The following is a 16,777-nucleotide window of genomic DNA, read 5'->3' as shown; positions in this document are numbered from 1 at the left end:
GCTGTAAGCAACAGGAAAAGCTAGGAACGCACATACAAGTTTGTGTTCAAATAATTCAGTTCTTTCTTTGTATAATTTGATTCTTTCTTTTCAAATCTTTAGGATGGACTGTTATTCTCCCCAGAGTCAAATATCACACTGTGCCTAATTCCTCTTTTGTATCTCTGGTGCCAACAGGGCTTGGAACATAGTAAGTGCTAACAAATGTGGAGAGAAAAAGCGAAGAAAGGGAGGATCAATGTTATTTATTTATTTACTTATTGCTGTCCCCAACTAGAATGTAAACTGGAGGACGAATGTTCTGACTTCCACTGAAGGCTCTTAGGTTTGCTTTCTAGATGAGACCGTCTGCCCTTGTGCATCTGGTCCTCCCACTGTCCCTGCAGAGGCCTCGCACAGTCCCCCCAAACATGCCCTCCTTTGCATCCATTCACTTCCTGAATCTTGTGCTACCCTCCCTTCTCCCTGCGCCCAACCACATGGGCCTTTCCTTCACCCATTCATGTGCTTATTAAGTGCTTACTTAATAAGCACTTAATAAGTGTGCCAGGCACTGTTTTAGGCACTAAAGTTAGAGCAATAAACAAAACAAATCCCAGATCTCACAGTTTACATTCTAGTGGGGGACAGCAAAACATAAATAAATAAACAAATGAACATAAAATACAAAGTCAAGACATGAATACCAACAGGCAGGGGGAAGCAAGTGGGTGGAAAGGAAAGGCCCCCCTTGTGAGGAGAGGTGGGAGCAGGAGTATGAGAACGAAAGGGCCTTGGCTCTAATCCCTTTTCATTGGCTCCTGCTGGCTCTGCACTGTGCACTGGCTCAGCACTTGCAATTCCCTAGGCCTGAAGAACTCTCTCCAGATTTTCTTTTAGCTTCATCCTACTCCCGGAAATTATTGCATTTACCATCTGCCTTCTCCTAGTTAGAGTGTAAATTTTAGGAAAGCAGGCACCTGCTCATTACTGCATTCCCAGCACAATAAATTCTTGTTGAATGAGTGAATGAACCCAAACTTAAAAGCCTATATCAACCTATATATTACACCAAACTCCCTATGCCTCTCCCTCCACAGGAACCTTCAGTCAGCCCTACTGAACTCGCGTTCCCTTGATGTGTTACCTTTCAAAATTTCCCTGTCTCCCAACTAGGTATCAAGCTCATAAGGCAGACACCAGCCCCATACCTTTTATATCTTCCTGGATCCCCAGCACAGTGCTTTAGAAATAGGTCTTCGTCAATTTCCTGAGAGCAGAAGTCAAACTCTTTCAATGATACCCACTAGTGACCTTAGAATCCACTGCAGGGAGGAGGGAATCAGCAAAAGACCTTGGGTCCATCAGCCAACCTAAGACCAGCTGGATAGAAACTGTGACTCTCCATCATGTGTGGGGCTTCAATACTTTGACCACCCACTTGGTCAGAAAATAGCCCCCTTTAACCCATAAATTGACCCGGGGCTCTAAAATAAAAGCATTCTATTGCTTCTGCTCTAGCTCATTAACTTAAAAAAATAAAGACAAGCTCTGGAAGCAAGGATTAATGTTTGCCTTGACCCGGCTGATTTATTTTTAAGTGCTGCCAGCTCAGACCTAATACATAAAGCACACTGTGAAGGTGTAGTCTAGGCAACCAGAGTACACTGCTTTTTCCATTAACAGGGATGCCAGTTAACACAGGGAGCAGCAGATCGTCAAATGTTAGCAGCTGTAAAAGGCGTGCCAAGGAGTTACAGCTTACTGCTCAGCCAAAACTAACAGTGGCACAAAGGAGAGTATGTTTCATGCTTTTAAAGTGAGAAGGGCAACCCCCACCCCAAATTGCTCTCTTATGCTCCAGGCCAATTTCATCTGGTCAATTTCAGATCACCACCCTTAACATAACCAGGGGTAATGTGGAATCACAGGACATGGAGGGTGGTGAGCAGAGACAAAGAGAAGAGGAAAAAACTCAGAAATCAACTGAAGGCTAAGAACACCCTAGTTTATCAATACGATGGGTATCATAAAGAAAAAGTAACAGCACTGAAAAATAATATAGTGAAATAAATGAAGTCATGAGGAAATACCACTGTGTCTTCACTTGGACTACAATTATATAAAGCATGTGCAAAAGTATGAAAAGTTATTAAAAGGAGACAGAAAAACAAAAGCACATTACTTGTTATGGCAGTGAGGCCCAGGATGGGGAACATTAAAAAAAATTTCTTCTTTCCCATGTCCAGACAGTGTTACTACAACATTGTACTAACACTGTAAAATTATTTAATTTTAAAATAATTTTTTCTTCAAAGATCTCAAAAAGTACAGATCACTCTCCCTAAATTGTCATAGAGCCATTCGAGCCACATACTTAAGGTGTTATTGAGGCAGAAAAGAGTCTGGAGACAAGGAACCTAAGGCCGATTCACGCTGACCTCCTAGAACTAAATCAGAAAGAAAACCCCAACTCTCCACACCTAAGCAACAGAAGGACTGGAGGCTACTCCCTTTGTAAAACCCCCACATTTTCTGTGCGTTAGATGGAAAATTGAAAGTATCTCTGATTGATTGCAGAAAGCAACCAAAGCATAGGAGTCTAAGTTTGTAACTTCAGCCTCTGATTGGGGGTCACTCCTTCATTTACATAGGGTGTACATCAAGTAACCAATGGGAAACCTCTAGAGGGTATTTAAACCCCAGAAAATTCTATAACAGAGCTCTTGAGGCCCTATGCTCACCGGCTCCCACCCTGTGGAGTACGCTTTCGTTTTTCGGTAAATTTCTGCTTTTCTTGGCTCATTATTTCCTTGCTTTGTGTATTTTGTCCAATTCCTTGTTCAAAACGCCAAGAACCTGGACACCCTCTACTGGTAACATTCTAAGTATTGGTTTTAATATTCCAAGATTTAGGGTTCCTCTAGCTTGGTGACTTTGGGTAAACAACTCGATCTCTCAAAGCTAATGTTGGGAAATTAATAGCTATTTAGCTTTAAAATCATCCACATTCTAGCAATGCTTTCGATTCACTGGATTATAGAAAGGAGGGCTACCATCCCACTCACAGTGGCAACACTCCCCAGCCTCTGCTGCTGCCCAGGGAGTGTGGGCAACAGAGAGGCCCCAGGACCACACAGACCCTGACTTAGACCTTGCTTGATTATACATGAATTGTGTAACTCCGCTTGGCTACCTTAGCTGAGGCTCAGTTTTCTCATCTGTAAAATGAGACAAGGCTTAAAGGAGAAAATAATGTACAGGGTCTGGGATAGTGCTTGGTACATAGTGTGTGTCCTATAAATGTGGCCTTCTCAATCCTTATGCTAAATAAAACAAGAAACAATTTATTGTGTATTAAATTGTCTTTAAAATATCAGAAAGAAGAAATATTTCTTTGAAAAACTTACACTTGACCCGCTTGAGTTCTTACACAGGAAGAGGCAATTGCCTCATGATGCCAAATCACTGGGATGAGCGTCCCAAAGCACTAGGTCTTCCTTTTGCTCCACAAAAGTGCCAAGTGCAGGCGATCCACAGCTCAGAAGACAAGGACTCAGTGGCCTCTACAAGGTCTATTTTAAAACACAGGCCTGGACATTATCATGAAGAGGTGAAAGAGAAGCCCTGAGGGCTTTTGGATACTGTTCATGTCTAAATTTCCCAGGAAGAACAACCCCTGCTCAGCCATAGCAGATGAAGACACGTGTGGTGTGCATACTGAGACGCTAACAATCCCTAGTACTTATTTTAATCTTTTATTCCTTTCTCCCTCCCGCAAGCTTTTTTGACTGGAACTCGAAATAAGTGGTAAAATTAAGTCTTTTGGAATCTACTAACTTTCTGTTTCATCCCTGTTCATCAAATATCCAAAATGCAGACCTCAGCTGCAACACCAGACAACCTGAGGGCTGTGCCTGTACTGATGGGGGGATGTGGAGAAGGAGTCTGAGTAGAGGATGCTGGGGAGGATCCCAGGCCAGGAATTCCTTTTCCATCAAGTATATAAGCTGCTGGCCAGGAGCAATGTGTGCAGCACACAGGCATTGGTGCCTAACATCGCGGAGACAGCACCCATGGAGGGCAGGGCGACTGGAGGGGCTTCAGAGCCTGCTCTAGGAGCTGCAGGAAGTGCAGCGCACCCCCTAGCCACCCACTGCTGGAGCCCATTCACTCCATCATCTGTCCCTCACCATCTCCAAGGTCACCACCCATCCGAGCCAACCTCAGCTCCTTCCTGAGGGGGAGGCCTGTGCCCACCTTGTGCTACTCCAACCTGCATTCCCCTCAGGAGCCAAAGAGACTTTTTAAAATATGCATCAGGCCATGTCACCCTCTGCTTCAAACTCTCCAGTAGACTCCCATCCCACTCAGAACCCAATCCTAATACCCACCCTCCTCGAACCCCTGCAGGCCTCTCCAATAGGCCTTGCACACTGCTCCCCTTGCTCACACACCCTGGCCACAATGGGCTCTCGTCTTTCCCTTGAATGTGACCATTGCCGAGCCTGTTCCAGCCTTGCAGCCCTGTGTGGGTTGCTTCCTCTGCTTGAAACCCTCTTCCCAAGTCTGGTGCCTTTTTGTTAACTGGGTCTAAGCTGACATGACTTTTCCTCCAAGAAGCTCTTCTCGACCACCAAGTTGAGAGCAGTCACCTGGTCACATCACCATGTCTTATTTTTCTCACCACCATTTTTGCTCTGGACAATGTCTTTTGTTTGCAGGCCTGCCTGTCTCCCCCGACTGGCATCTCTGCTCCAACACAGCAGGGACCAGGTCTGTCTTGCTCTCTGCAGTACCCAATGCCTATACCAGTGTCTGATGCCCAGCAGGCGCTCAGTAGTTACTTATGGAATGAATGGACAGATGAAGTATGTAAGACCACAGGGAGGAGGTGAGCCCGGCAGAAACCAAGCGCAGAGCATTTCTGGCAAAAGATAGTGAAGTAAAGCTTCAGCTCAACTACCCTTCTTCAAAAATCACAAAACAATAAGGAAAAGAAGGGTAAAAATGGTAAGGAAAAAAAATCTATTAAATAGGGAAGTGGCTATAATCCTAAAGCACAAACAAAAAGCCTGACTACCAAGTCCTGTAAACTGAGACATGGGAGCATGCCGAGAACCAAGAGGTGCAGATTTCTCCTAAAGTAAGAGTCACAGCCCTGGAAAAGTCTCTAACTACTCTTTGGTTAAAGTGACAAAATGTAGGAGTCTGCCTGGGCCTTGAGCAGGGACAGAGATAAAAGAGACCAAACCCCAGCATCACAGACCAGCAGGGGAGGGGGCTGAAGAAGCAGCTAGGCTGCCACACCATGCCCACTGTCTGTGACCTTGGACCCAGTTCAGAAGGCGCTGAAAGTGACCTGGTAGGGAGGGAGGAGAGTCGTGACCACTGTACAGCAGCACACAGGACAGGTGACTCTCCTGGGAGCCACCAGCCCTTGTGACCACTGAGCAGAGATGGGAGATGTTCTCTCAGAGGGCTTGAATACACAGACTGTGGGGCTGGGTTCTCTGCATTGCAACCCCAGCTCTGCTGCTTCCCAACTTTGTGCCCTCATGCAACCTACATAACACTCCATGCCTCAGCTTCCTCATCAGCAAAGTGGACAGAATAATGGAATCTACTTCATAAGAGTTGCTGGGGTATTAAATGAGTTTATGCATCCAGTGTAGTGTCTGGCACATGGTAAGCACGATGTAAGCATTAGCTATTCAAATTATTATCCCTTCTTCCACATTATTCTTTTGCTGGTGGCAGACTGTATTCAACATTGAGTAGAGTGCTGAATAGAACACCACAGGTGCTGTGCATATAAACTGCAAAACTAAAAATTAATACTTTTTGAAGGAGGAGAGGAACAGAAAGAAAATCACATAAAGAATACACATGATGACTGGGTGCAGTGGCTCACACCTGTAATCCCAGCACTTTGGGAGGCTGACGAGGGTGGATCATGAGGTCAGAAGTTCAAGACCAGCCTGAACAATATGGTGAAACCCCATCTCTACTAAATATACAATAACAAAAAAAAATTAGCCGGGCGTGTTGGTGCACACCTGTGGTCTCAGCTACTCAGGGGGCTGAGGCAGGAGGATCGCTTGAACCTGGGAGGCAGAGGTTGCAGTGAGCCAAGATCATGCCACTGCACTCCAGCCTGGCAACAGAGCAAGACTCTGTTTCAAAAAAAAAAAATACACATGAAAAAGAGGACAACCTCAGGACACAAGTAGTTCATCAGAGTCTTAAAGAAAACAGACAGTATGCCTCATCACAGGAATAGTCACCAGAATTCAAGAAAGCAATGTAAGAACACACTCAAAGGAGACGAAAAGAGAACTGGTGGAGCTCAGGAGACACATGGAAAAAGAAAAGGAACTGTATGCTATGGTTTGGATGTTTGTCCCCTGCAAATCTCATGTTGAAATGTGGTTCCCACTGTTGGAGGTGGGGCCTGGTGGAAGGTGTTGGGTCATGTGGGTGGATGCCTTATGAATGGCTGAGCACCATCTCTTACTGATGAGTGAGTTCTTGCACTGAGTTCACATGAGAGCTGGTGGGGTTTTTTTTGTTGTTGTTGTTTCGTTTTGTTTTTTTTTTGAGACTGAGTCTCGCTCTGTTGCCCAGGCAGGAGTGCAGTGGTGCCATCTCAGCTCACTGCAAGCTCCGCCTCCCAGGTTCACGCCATTCTCCTGCCTCAGCCTCCCGGTAGCTGGGACTATAGGCGCCCGTCACTACGCCTGGCTAATTTTTTGTATTTTTAGTAGAGACAGGGTTTCACTGTGTTAGCCAGGATGGTCTCGATCTCCTGACCTCGTGATCCGCCCTCCTCGGCCTCCCAAAGTGCTGGGATTACAGGCGTAAGCCACCATGCCCGGCCAAGAGAGCTGGTGTTTAAAGAACCTGGCACCTCCCCACCTCTCTCTTGCTCCCTCTCTCACCATCTGATACCGCCTACTCTCCCTTTGCCTTCTACCATAGTTGGAAGCTTCCTGAGGCCTCACTAGGAGCAGATGCCAGCACCATGCTTCCTGTACATCCTACAGACCCAATTAAACCTCTTTTTTAAAAAATAAATTACCAAGCTTCAGATATTCCTTTATAGCAAGACACAGACTAACACAAGCACTGAGGTGGAAACATCAGCAAAGGAACAACAATAAACACACACTCATATGTATACACCACACTCATGCAAATACCACATACATGCACACACATACACACACACTGAAAACACAGGTAAGGATGTGGCAGGTAGGAATGAGAAATCCACACAAAATGAAATTATTTTAAAGCAGATAATAGATACTGAAGGCAAAGGAGAACCAACATACACACATAATTGGTATTCCTGAGGAAGAGAACAAAGCAAATAGAACATGAAAACATTCAAGGTTTTACTAGTTGAAACATTTCCCAAAATAACAAGTCATTTTTCTCCAGATCAAAAGGACATGCCATTTTCCAGGGGACAAAAATGATGCAGAACAACACCAATACATATCCTGGTGAACTGCTTAACCTCAAGACTAAAAAGAAAATTTCTGAGGGCATCCAGAATTCACCTTCAGTGGGGAACAACTCAGCCCAGCCTCCAAATTCCTAGCAAAGCCAAAGCCGGGGACGATCAGCAAGGTCTACTAAGTTCTGAGATAGACCAAGTTGGAAACCAAGACTGTTAGACCTCACCAGGTTGTCTTTCAAGATTGCAGACAGCAGAGAGACACTGTCAAACATGCGAGCATGGAGGCATGCAGCCCCAGGAGCCTCTGGTTAACAAGCCACTAGGTGACAGCATCCAGACAGCCAGAAAAACTGAAGTGAAGAATTTGTGAATGTAGGGAACATGGAATAAAGAACAGAGGTGAAATCTGTGGCTCCATTTCAATAGGAACTAAATAGCTACAGCATTCATGGTCACAAAAGAGAATATAAATGCTATAGACAACATAGAAGGGTACGACAAAGCCGGGAGTTCTAAGAGGGGAGGGAGAAAGTACATGCATGCTGTTTCCCATTTTCCATGGCCAAGATTCCAGCTGAAGGTGAGGCACACAGTTGAAGAAGACAGTGGCTCTGACCTCTTAATGCCTTCATTATCTCTTTTCTTAATTTTAGCAACAAATTTTAGGAATGAATATTGCATATACCAAGGAAGTTCACCAATTCCTTTTAGCTTCACTTGTTTTTCTTCAGTCAATATCAAGTAACATCATTTTTACATATCATATGATCCAAGTTTTCTTGTAGTTTTCCGTGTCTCTGCATCATCGTATGCCTCCAGCCTCCCTCTTTCTCCTCTTTGTACATAGGCACAGAGAGGTGTCTGCAGGGATAAATGTTCATGATATTTCTGGAGTGATGAGATTCTCGGTAATGTTTTTTCAACTTGGATTTGGTACTTTTCTTCAGTGTTTTAATATTTATATAATAAACACATTTCATTTTTTATAAAGCCATTTTTAAAGAAATATTTTTATTTGCTGAACCTCATTTCTTCTATACTTTACACCTGGAGTGGCTCTTTTTTTCCCATTGTTGCTGTTGCCTGTTTTCTGGCACAGCACCTACCCCAGACCAGTGTTGTGGGACCCGCAGAAGTGCCTGCTGTCGATCACGAAAGCCACATTCTCTTCCAGCCTCCTGGAAGACTGGCTTTCCCAGCAGGGTGAGAGGCTGAGCCAAACCATCTGACTTCTTCCTGGCCTTGCTGGAACAAGCACTTCTGTATGGGCAGTAGAGGTGTGAGGTAAGAGTTTCATTAAGATACAGGCATTGTCCTCTGGGTCAAGTTCACTGACTGCTGCTGTGGTCAACTGAGCTCAAGCAGCCCAGAATGACAGCCCATCAAATGGTCCTCTTGGACAGGGTTATAGAATTCAATGAGATGGTGCATGTGATGTGCTTAGCACAGCACCTGGCATGCGGCTAACAATTAGTAAATAGAAGCAATTATGAACATCATGCCAGCCACGCTGTGTGCAACCACTGCCACCCATCAAGGGTATATTGAGCACCAGGTAAAACTGACCATTGCTACCAATGTGACAGAAAATTGCCACCTGTCTGTCCAGCTTTTCCTGACTTCTTCAGTGTGTCATTATTAATTACCTACGTCCTCTAAAAGCTAGGGAACTCATTTGCATCTCATATATTAACTATCCCTAATTATTCTCCCTTCCTCACTATTGGGTTTGGTGCTTTGGAAAATCTTTTAAAGGTTTGATCTCTCTATTTTACCTCTGGTAAGGACTCTTTTCCAACCCTGCATATGGCCCCCAGCTGTTCCTCCATTTGCTGACCTGGAAGTTTATCATTATCAGAGGCCCTCTGCCGGTTATCTCACTAATTTCCATCACTTCTTGGAAGTGAACCTTGCCAAAGGCCTGCATGTTTTCATTTCTGTAAGCAGTCATATAGCCACTATGTGTTTTCTGAGATAAGGCTGTTCATCATGGTCTTAACTACCAGCAAGAAGCATTTTATGGGGGCCTGCGCTGTGTGCTGGAGATCTGGTCTCACCCTCCCTTTGACAATCCTGATCTGTACCCCGCACAGTTTGTGCTGGGGTTTGGGGGTCTTCTGTCTCACCTGTCCGCAGGAGTACAGTGAGGCAGGGAGGAGAAGTAGGGGAAACCTCCCCTCATTATTTTCCCTTGTGGATGTAATGGCTCTGCTCTGGAATCCCAAAGGCTGCTGGACCCTGCAGGTAGGGCTTATTATGTGATAAACTACCTCAGCCAGGGGCCAAGGGGCCTTTGGAGAAAAAAGATGCAAAAAGGAACCAGCATATGCTCCCTTTTGAAATGTAAGTGGGTGAATGCTGGTGTGTGGACAGCACAGTGGCAGGTATGGCCAAGAGTATGGCTGAGCCCAGCTGAGATGGGATGATTGGACTAGCGGCAAGTCCAGACAGGCTGCCCAGAGCAGGTGCTGCATGAAAGTGCCTTGAACCTCAACAGGCAGGGTACAGTGCGCTTGGTGTCCTTGTGCTCATGCTGGAGGATGGGGATTCATTCTTTGCTAGAAGGTGCTTCCTGCTGGATTGGTGGCCCCCAGGTAATGTCTAGAACCAAAAAGTGGTTTGAGGCCAAGGCAAGGGCAGAGGTTCTGGGTTTACTCCCAAACTGATATAAAGTTGTAAAAAATGTGCCTTTCAGAAGAAAATGCAAAATATAAAATTATTTGTAAGTGGCTTATATTTTTCTTATAATTAAAAAAAGAGAATGAACTTATTGAAACTTTATATAAGAACTCTAAGCAACAGCCCCCAAGGAACTCTTGCTTAGCCAGCCACTTAATGCTATAATTTACCATTTATATGAGTTAGATGCATTCTTCCCTAGCATTTGTGACAACAAGGGAATGTCCAGGATCACAAAATAGTGACAAGTAGACAAGTTCAACAATTTTTTTGTGGCATTTGCCTGATCTCCGATGCTAATAAGATCTTGGTCAATACTTCTCTTCAGATTTCACGGAAAAAAAAATATCTTGGCCAAAGTCGTGCATTGCTGGCTCTTCCAAAATTATCAACAGAGTGTTCTTGAAGTTTTGGTTGCATATGATTTCTTGTCAGCAGTACAGGAAGGTCATAAAATCCTTTATTCATTTTCTCCAGCCTCAGGAATATCTTGGCCCCCAACAACAGCAGGTCCAGCTTTTGACGGCTACAGAGCCCACCTGCATCTTAAGGATGGCCAGTTGAGTTAAAGTTGAGGGCATACCTTATAAATAGAATTATTAATAGCTTGATTCAAATTGTTTTTTCATTTGGCAAACTTCAGCATAAAATGCCTGGAAGGTGTGCGTAGATGATGCTTCTAGTTCCTAGAGAAGATATGGCTTCATAACCTAACAGACTAGGGATGTCCCAAGTCTTTTAGAAATAAGTTACCAAACACGTGCTTGAAACAGTGTCTACAAATACACATGCTAACTGTGTAAAATTAGCCCAGTTTCTTAGTCTATCTGAACCCAGTTTGTAAAACGGAGGCAATAATGCCTTGTGGCCAAAAAGCCATCCAAGACTGTCCAGCTGTATGGCCTCCAAGTCAAGCCAGATGCCTGGCAAGTCAGGAGACCAGTAAGCACAAAGATTGCCTGAGCTGCACTCACTCTCCATGCAGCCAAGGCTTTCTTCACTGCAGGTGGAATTCTGGAACCTCAAAAGTATAACAGCCAACAATGTACTGATACACCATCAAAGTGGGAAACCAAACCAAGAACGTTCCTGAGACTGGTGGAGCAACGATGACCTGAGATTCACAAAATAGCTACCGAGGAGGCTGAAGGGCAGAGCCCATGAGACCAGTTTGGAATGCCACATCTGCAACACCATCCACACAATGCAGGTCATTCAAACCAGCAAAAGACGGGTCCCAAAGTCCAAGAGCCCTGGCTTGCAGGGCTTCCCTCTCTCCTTCATTCTCCTCTTCTGCACTGCACTTTCCTGATTTTCTTCCTTGGTCTTTCTTTGTTCCTGGATCCACCTCCCCTTGCTATCGTCTGAGTGTCTGAGTGGCCCTCGGTCCACTTCTCTATCCACACTCACTCCCAAGGTGACCTCGTGTCCAGTCCCATGGCTGTACAAATGTATAACACCCAGTGACATCCAAGTGTATGTCCCTAGCACTCCCCTCTCTCTCAACTCCAAACTGGTATATTCAATTTAATTTCACTTAAAGGACAAATTTAAAATATTAAGTAATAAACAAAGTACCAAAACAACCACAATCTCTTACCTGATGAATCAGACAAAGTATCTCATGTATCATGCATTTGTCTGAATTATGTGGCCCTGCATTTTATAATCTGAGCACGGAGGGAAAGGCCTGCATGATTTTTTTAAGTGTGTCATACATAGTTGTCAGTCAATTCTGCTTAATGCTGTATTTTATTATCTATATAGTACCCTGATTTTGAATAGGTTGTGTTTCAAAACCCACTGGGTAAATTAATATTCTGAGTCTTAGGTCACAGTTTTTTAGAGAAGTATGGCTAGGCCATAAGCTATTGAGCTTTTCTTCCTTTTCCTGGCTACTGATGTCAGCTCATTTCAAGATCTCAAGTCCCATGTGAGTTCATTCCAACACTACGAATTCCTGGACTCCTGTCTGTACCCACCTCAGTCATACCTGTAAACCTGCACGCTGACCTGTCTAAAACGGCTCCCATCATGACTGCTCAGAAATTGTAGTGGTCCCTTCAGCCCATGGAACTTAATAGAATTATGGACCATCAGAGGGGCAGGGACCCACAGAAAGACCTACTGTGAGAATATCAACTATACTTAACATCTGAAATATTATCTTGTTTAGTATAATTTTAGTGACCATTTATTTTCCCTTCATTTTTAGGCCCACACAGCTGAAAACAATAAACCTCTTCTCTCTGAAAAGAGAATCAAGTCCTGTTTTTTGCAATATAAACAGTGGTTACCCTATATTTTACAAAATCTCAGAATGGCTCCTGGTCCTCTAGAAAATAATCTAAGTACATTTCATAATTGAGAATTAATTCACAGTTTCTGCTTTAAACACTCATTTGTTGGACAAAATATGTACTTGCAGTACTGAAAGAGTTGTAAACAAATGAATACCCGGACTTAAAACCATTTTAGCAATTGTTAAATTGTTTAAATTTAACAATTTTAAATATCTGTCCACAGTAGACCACAGTAGACCACTGTGGACAGATACTTAAATCCCAAACCTAAATATCAAGAGACAGGAACTGGGAAGCAGAGATTACTTTAGGTGTAAAATCTCACTTTCAAATGTCCTTAGCAGCCTAGTGATCTATGTCCTCTGGGGCATGCAAAAACATACTGTCTACACCACAAATGAGACAAATTCATCAGACCCTTCACTAAGATTCTGAAAGCTCTGGAAGAAAGAAGATTCCTATTTTATCTGAAATTGAATTATAAGGTGGATACAAAACCAAGGATGTACCAGGAGCCAAACTTAGCATTGGAATGGATCAATTTCTGATTTCAAGTTTCGATCATGGAAGAAACTTACCTGAACATTATTAAAAATTATCTGCATGATACAAATGATCCCAAAGTGTCGTTATTCTGACGTGTCCAATTCCATTTTACATCAGGTCAGTTATGTGTAAAATTCATCACTGATATGTGTTTGAAAATATAACGTTTGAATGCAGCTTATTCTTGTTTTTAGAACTTGAAATCTTGACACTCCTTACCTGATGTTGGCTCAATAGCAAAGGCTTGATGAGACTGAATCAAGGTGATATAAAACTCAAAATCTACAGGGCAGCTGCACTGCAAAGGAATAACATAAGTTTTGCTGCAAAACAAACAAAAAAGAAAATAAAAATATTATTTTTCTTTATAACTGGTTCTTTTGGTAGCAAGGAATGGAGACTCAAGTTACGTAATAAACAATGATGACTGCCAATGCTGATCTGGCACTTCCTGTGTGCCAGGAGTAACCCCATGCATTTCCCATGTATTAACTATTTTAATCCTATGAGGTGGTGCCGTGATTATCCCCACTTACAGAAGAGGAAACTGAGGCACAAGAGAGGGTAAGTGTTCCACACAAGGTGACATAGTTAGTGGCAGAACCATGATTTAATGTAGTCGATTGTGCTGGGTATCCATACTCCTCACCCCACTGTCCTTGCTACCTCTCGAGTACTGTTAAGTTTATTTTCCAGAGTTGCAGCGATAGGGAAAAGGCAGTCTCTACCACAGAGCTCGGCCTCACCGAACCAAGGAAAGGCCAAATAGATGGGCTTATAGAAAGCCTGGGAGACCCCTGGCCTTTCACAGAGCCTGGACGGGACAGTGTGGAAGAAACCACACTTTGGGCTGTGTTTGATTGAAATAAGCTAGGTACTCTTTATTTGGTCAGAAGTCCAGCAACCATTAGAGAACGTGGAGGAGGTCTATGTATTCAGAAATGGTCTGTCACCCCAAGACAAGGCGGACCTCTAAGCTAGCTTGAAGCTGTTGCTTACAGCACCCCAGGAGCTGTGGCAGCAGTGGCATTTCTTGGAGTGCCCCATGCTTCCCATAATGTCCTCTCCTTCAATCAGGGCAATCCAAGTCAGCCAGAGTTGACTGCCTGGGGGAGCAGAGCTCTCCAGGGTAATTCTACATCCTGTGCAGTGCTGGGGGCAGGTTATTGGGTCCCCTTGCAGCAGCAGGAAGTCAAGTGCTTCCTTTCAAGTGACCCAGCCACTCCCTGCATTCCTGATATTTTTGCACCCCTCCCTTCTCGTTAAGCCACCAGCCAGCTTCATCTTTGACTCTGTACATCTCTTCTCTACCCCATACCTTCTGAGCCCTCACCCCATCACAGCCCTCCTGCCTCGAGGCTGGCCCTGCCTCTTATCCTTTTAGCTTCTGGTCTCCCTGCCAACAGCCCATCCCCTCTCATTTTCCAGTTCATACTCCCAGGAGAACACAGTTGTAATCTGGTTTGAGCAGAGCTGCCAGACCAGCTGGGCTCTACCTTCTGGGCAGGACCCATCCGAACCCATCTGTCTGTGGACTTCTCCAATAATGACAGGCTTCCCTACCTGCCCAGTGTCTGTCTTCCCTGGAGATTCAGAGTCCTATGAAGGCAAAGACCAAGTCCATTTGGGTCTCCAGTGTATCCCAGAGTGTCGCATGGACCAAAGGCTCAATAAATATTTGTTGGTGTGAAGCGAAATAACCCTTTTTTCAGTAGCAATTTTGGGGATATGACATAACTCACATGTGGCTTTTAAAATTATGCCCAAAACATTTTTATTTGGCTTTAAAATTTATTATCTTTAAAAAATCTGTGAAATATTTCAAATATAAAGAAAAATGTAAAGAACAATAAAATAACGACCCCTTTATCTACTACTGAGCTCTAACAAATCTTTTGCTTTGGGTATATCAGCATGATGTTTTTAAAGAAATAAAACATTGCAAAAGAGTTGAAGCTCCTTGTAGCTCCTTCCCCAATTCTCTCCCTCTTCCTCCCTGCTTTAAGATAGTCAGGTTTATCAACCTTTATTTCGGAGAAAATTGAAATCTGTTCCAAACTATGAACATGGCATGTCTCTAATTTATTCAAGTTTAATTTTATGTCCTCAATCAAATTTTATAAGTGACCCCTACCCTGTATTCACTGTTCTACCATTCTCATGCATTCTAGTAATATTACTACTTACATATGTATGCATAAAAATATGTGGTATGTATAAAATATATAGTATGTTGTTTGTTTTTTAACAATATTGCTCTGAAACTTGCTATTTTTGCTCAAACTATGTTTTTGAGATTTATCCATGGATATATGTAAAGCTCTGTGCATTCATTTTAACGAGTGAAGAGTATTCTGTTATATAATTATACCACACTTTATTCAGCCACTCTCCTGTTGATGGGCATTTAGGTTGTTTGCATTTTTTCACTATTGCAATGTGGCAGTGAAGATCCTACTGCATGACTCCACATGCACCTGCAGTAGAGCTACTTTAGGAATAACCCCAAATGGGACTTCTGGTTAGTAGCAAAGTAAAAATATTAAATTTACTAGATACGACTAAAATATTTTTCAAAGCCCTTTACCAATTTACACCTTTACTAGCAGAATAGGAGAGTTTCTATTGCTTACCAACATTTAGGATTCTCAGGCATTTTAACTTCTGTCAACCTGATGGAGATGAAATGGCATCTCATTTCACTTTCATTCTCATTCTTTTGAGGTTGAGTTTCTATTCCTGTGTATTCATTTGGGTTCCCTCTCCTGTGAATTGCCTGTGCATATCCTTTGCCCATTTCTCTATTCATTGGTTTTGTTCTCTTATTCATTTGTAAATTCTTCTTTTTTTTTTTTGAGACACAGTCTCACTTTGTCACCCAGTCTGGGGTGCAGTGGCATAATCATAGCTCACTGCAGCCTTGATGTTCTGGGCTGAAGTGATCCTCCCACCTCAGTCTCCTGAGTAGCTGGGACCACAGGTGTGCATCACCATACCTAGCTAGTTTTTAAATTTTTTGTAGAGATGAGTTCCCACTATGTTGCCCAGGCTTGTCTCGAACTCCTGGGCTCAAGTGATCCTCTTGCCTTGGCCACCAAAAGTGCTGGGATTACATGCATGAGACATCATGACTGGCCTCATTTGTAAATTCTAATATTAATTTAGTTAATTATATGCATTGCAAGTATCTTTTCCAAGCCATAGTTTATTTTTTGATTTATTTATGGTGTTTTTTGTTGGACATAAATTTTTAATTTTAAGGTAGTCAGTTTTATCAATCATTGTTTTGGAGAAAATTGAAATCTGCTCTAAACTATAAACATGGTATGTCTCTAATTTATTAAGGTTTAATTTTATGTCCTCAATCAAATTTTATAAGTGTCTCCATAATGAGCTTATACATTTTGGTTAAGTTTTTCCCTAGGTGTTTTGGTATGTTTGGGTTGCTGTCACAGAATACCACAGACTGGGTGGCTTATGAACAACAGAAATTTATTCCTCACAGTTCTGGAGGCTGGGAAGTCCAAGATCAAGGTGCTGGCAGATTTGGTGTCTGGTGCAGGCCCACTTCCTGGTTCATAGATGACCATCTTTTCACTGTGTCTTCGCATAATGGAAGGGGCTACGAAGCTCTCCAGATCTCTTTTATAAGGACACTAATCCTGTTCATGAGGGCTTTGCCCTCATGGCCTCATCACCTCCCAAAGGCCCCACCTCCTAATAGATCACCTTGGGGGTTAGATTTAAACACATACATTTTGAGGGGGAAACAAACATTCAGACCATAGCACCAGGTATCTTA

At 43.2% G+C, this 16,777-nt stretch overlaps 1 protein-coding gene across 12 annotated transcripts in view; it reads right to left on the bottom strand.

The window, feature by feature from the left end:
- The window catches only part of CFAP221 (cilia and flagella associated protein 221), a 115,875-nt gene that overhangs the window by 59,907 nt on the left and 39,191 nt on the right, over window positions 1-16,777 (bottom strand). For all 12 annotated transcript variants that reach the window (NR_073132.2, XR_922883.4, NR_073133.2 and 9 more), the window contains one exon: window positions 13,195-13,298. Coding sequence is in view for 9 of the 12 variants with exons in the window: in XM_006712353.4 (XP_006712416.1) it covers window positions 13,195-13,298 (104 nt within the window). In the remaining 3 variants the exon portion in view is untranslated. The remainder of the gene's footprint in view (window positions 1-13,194; window positions 13,299-16,777) is intronic.

This window comes from Homo sapiens, chromosome 2 (genome assembly GCF_000001405.40).
Source record: "Homo sapiens chromosome 2, GRCh38.p14 Primary Assembly".
Taxonomy (NCBI): domain Eukaryota; kingdom Metazoa; phylum Chordata; class Mammalia; order Primates; family Hominidae; genus Homo; species Homo sapiens.
Note: the sequence above shows the minus strand (reverse complement) of the source record. Positions and strands in the feature narration are given on the sequence as shown.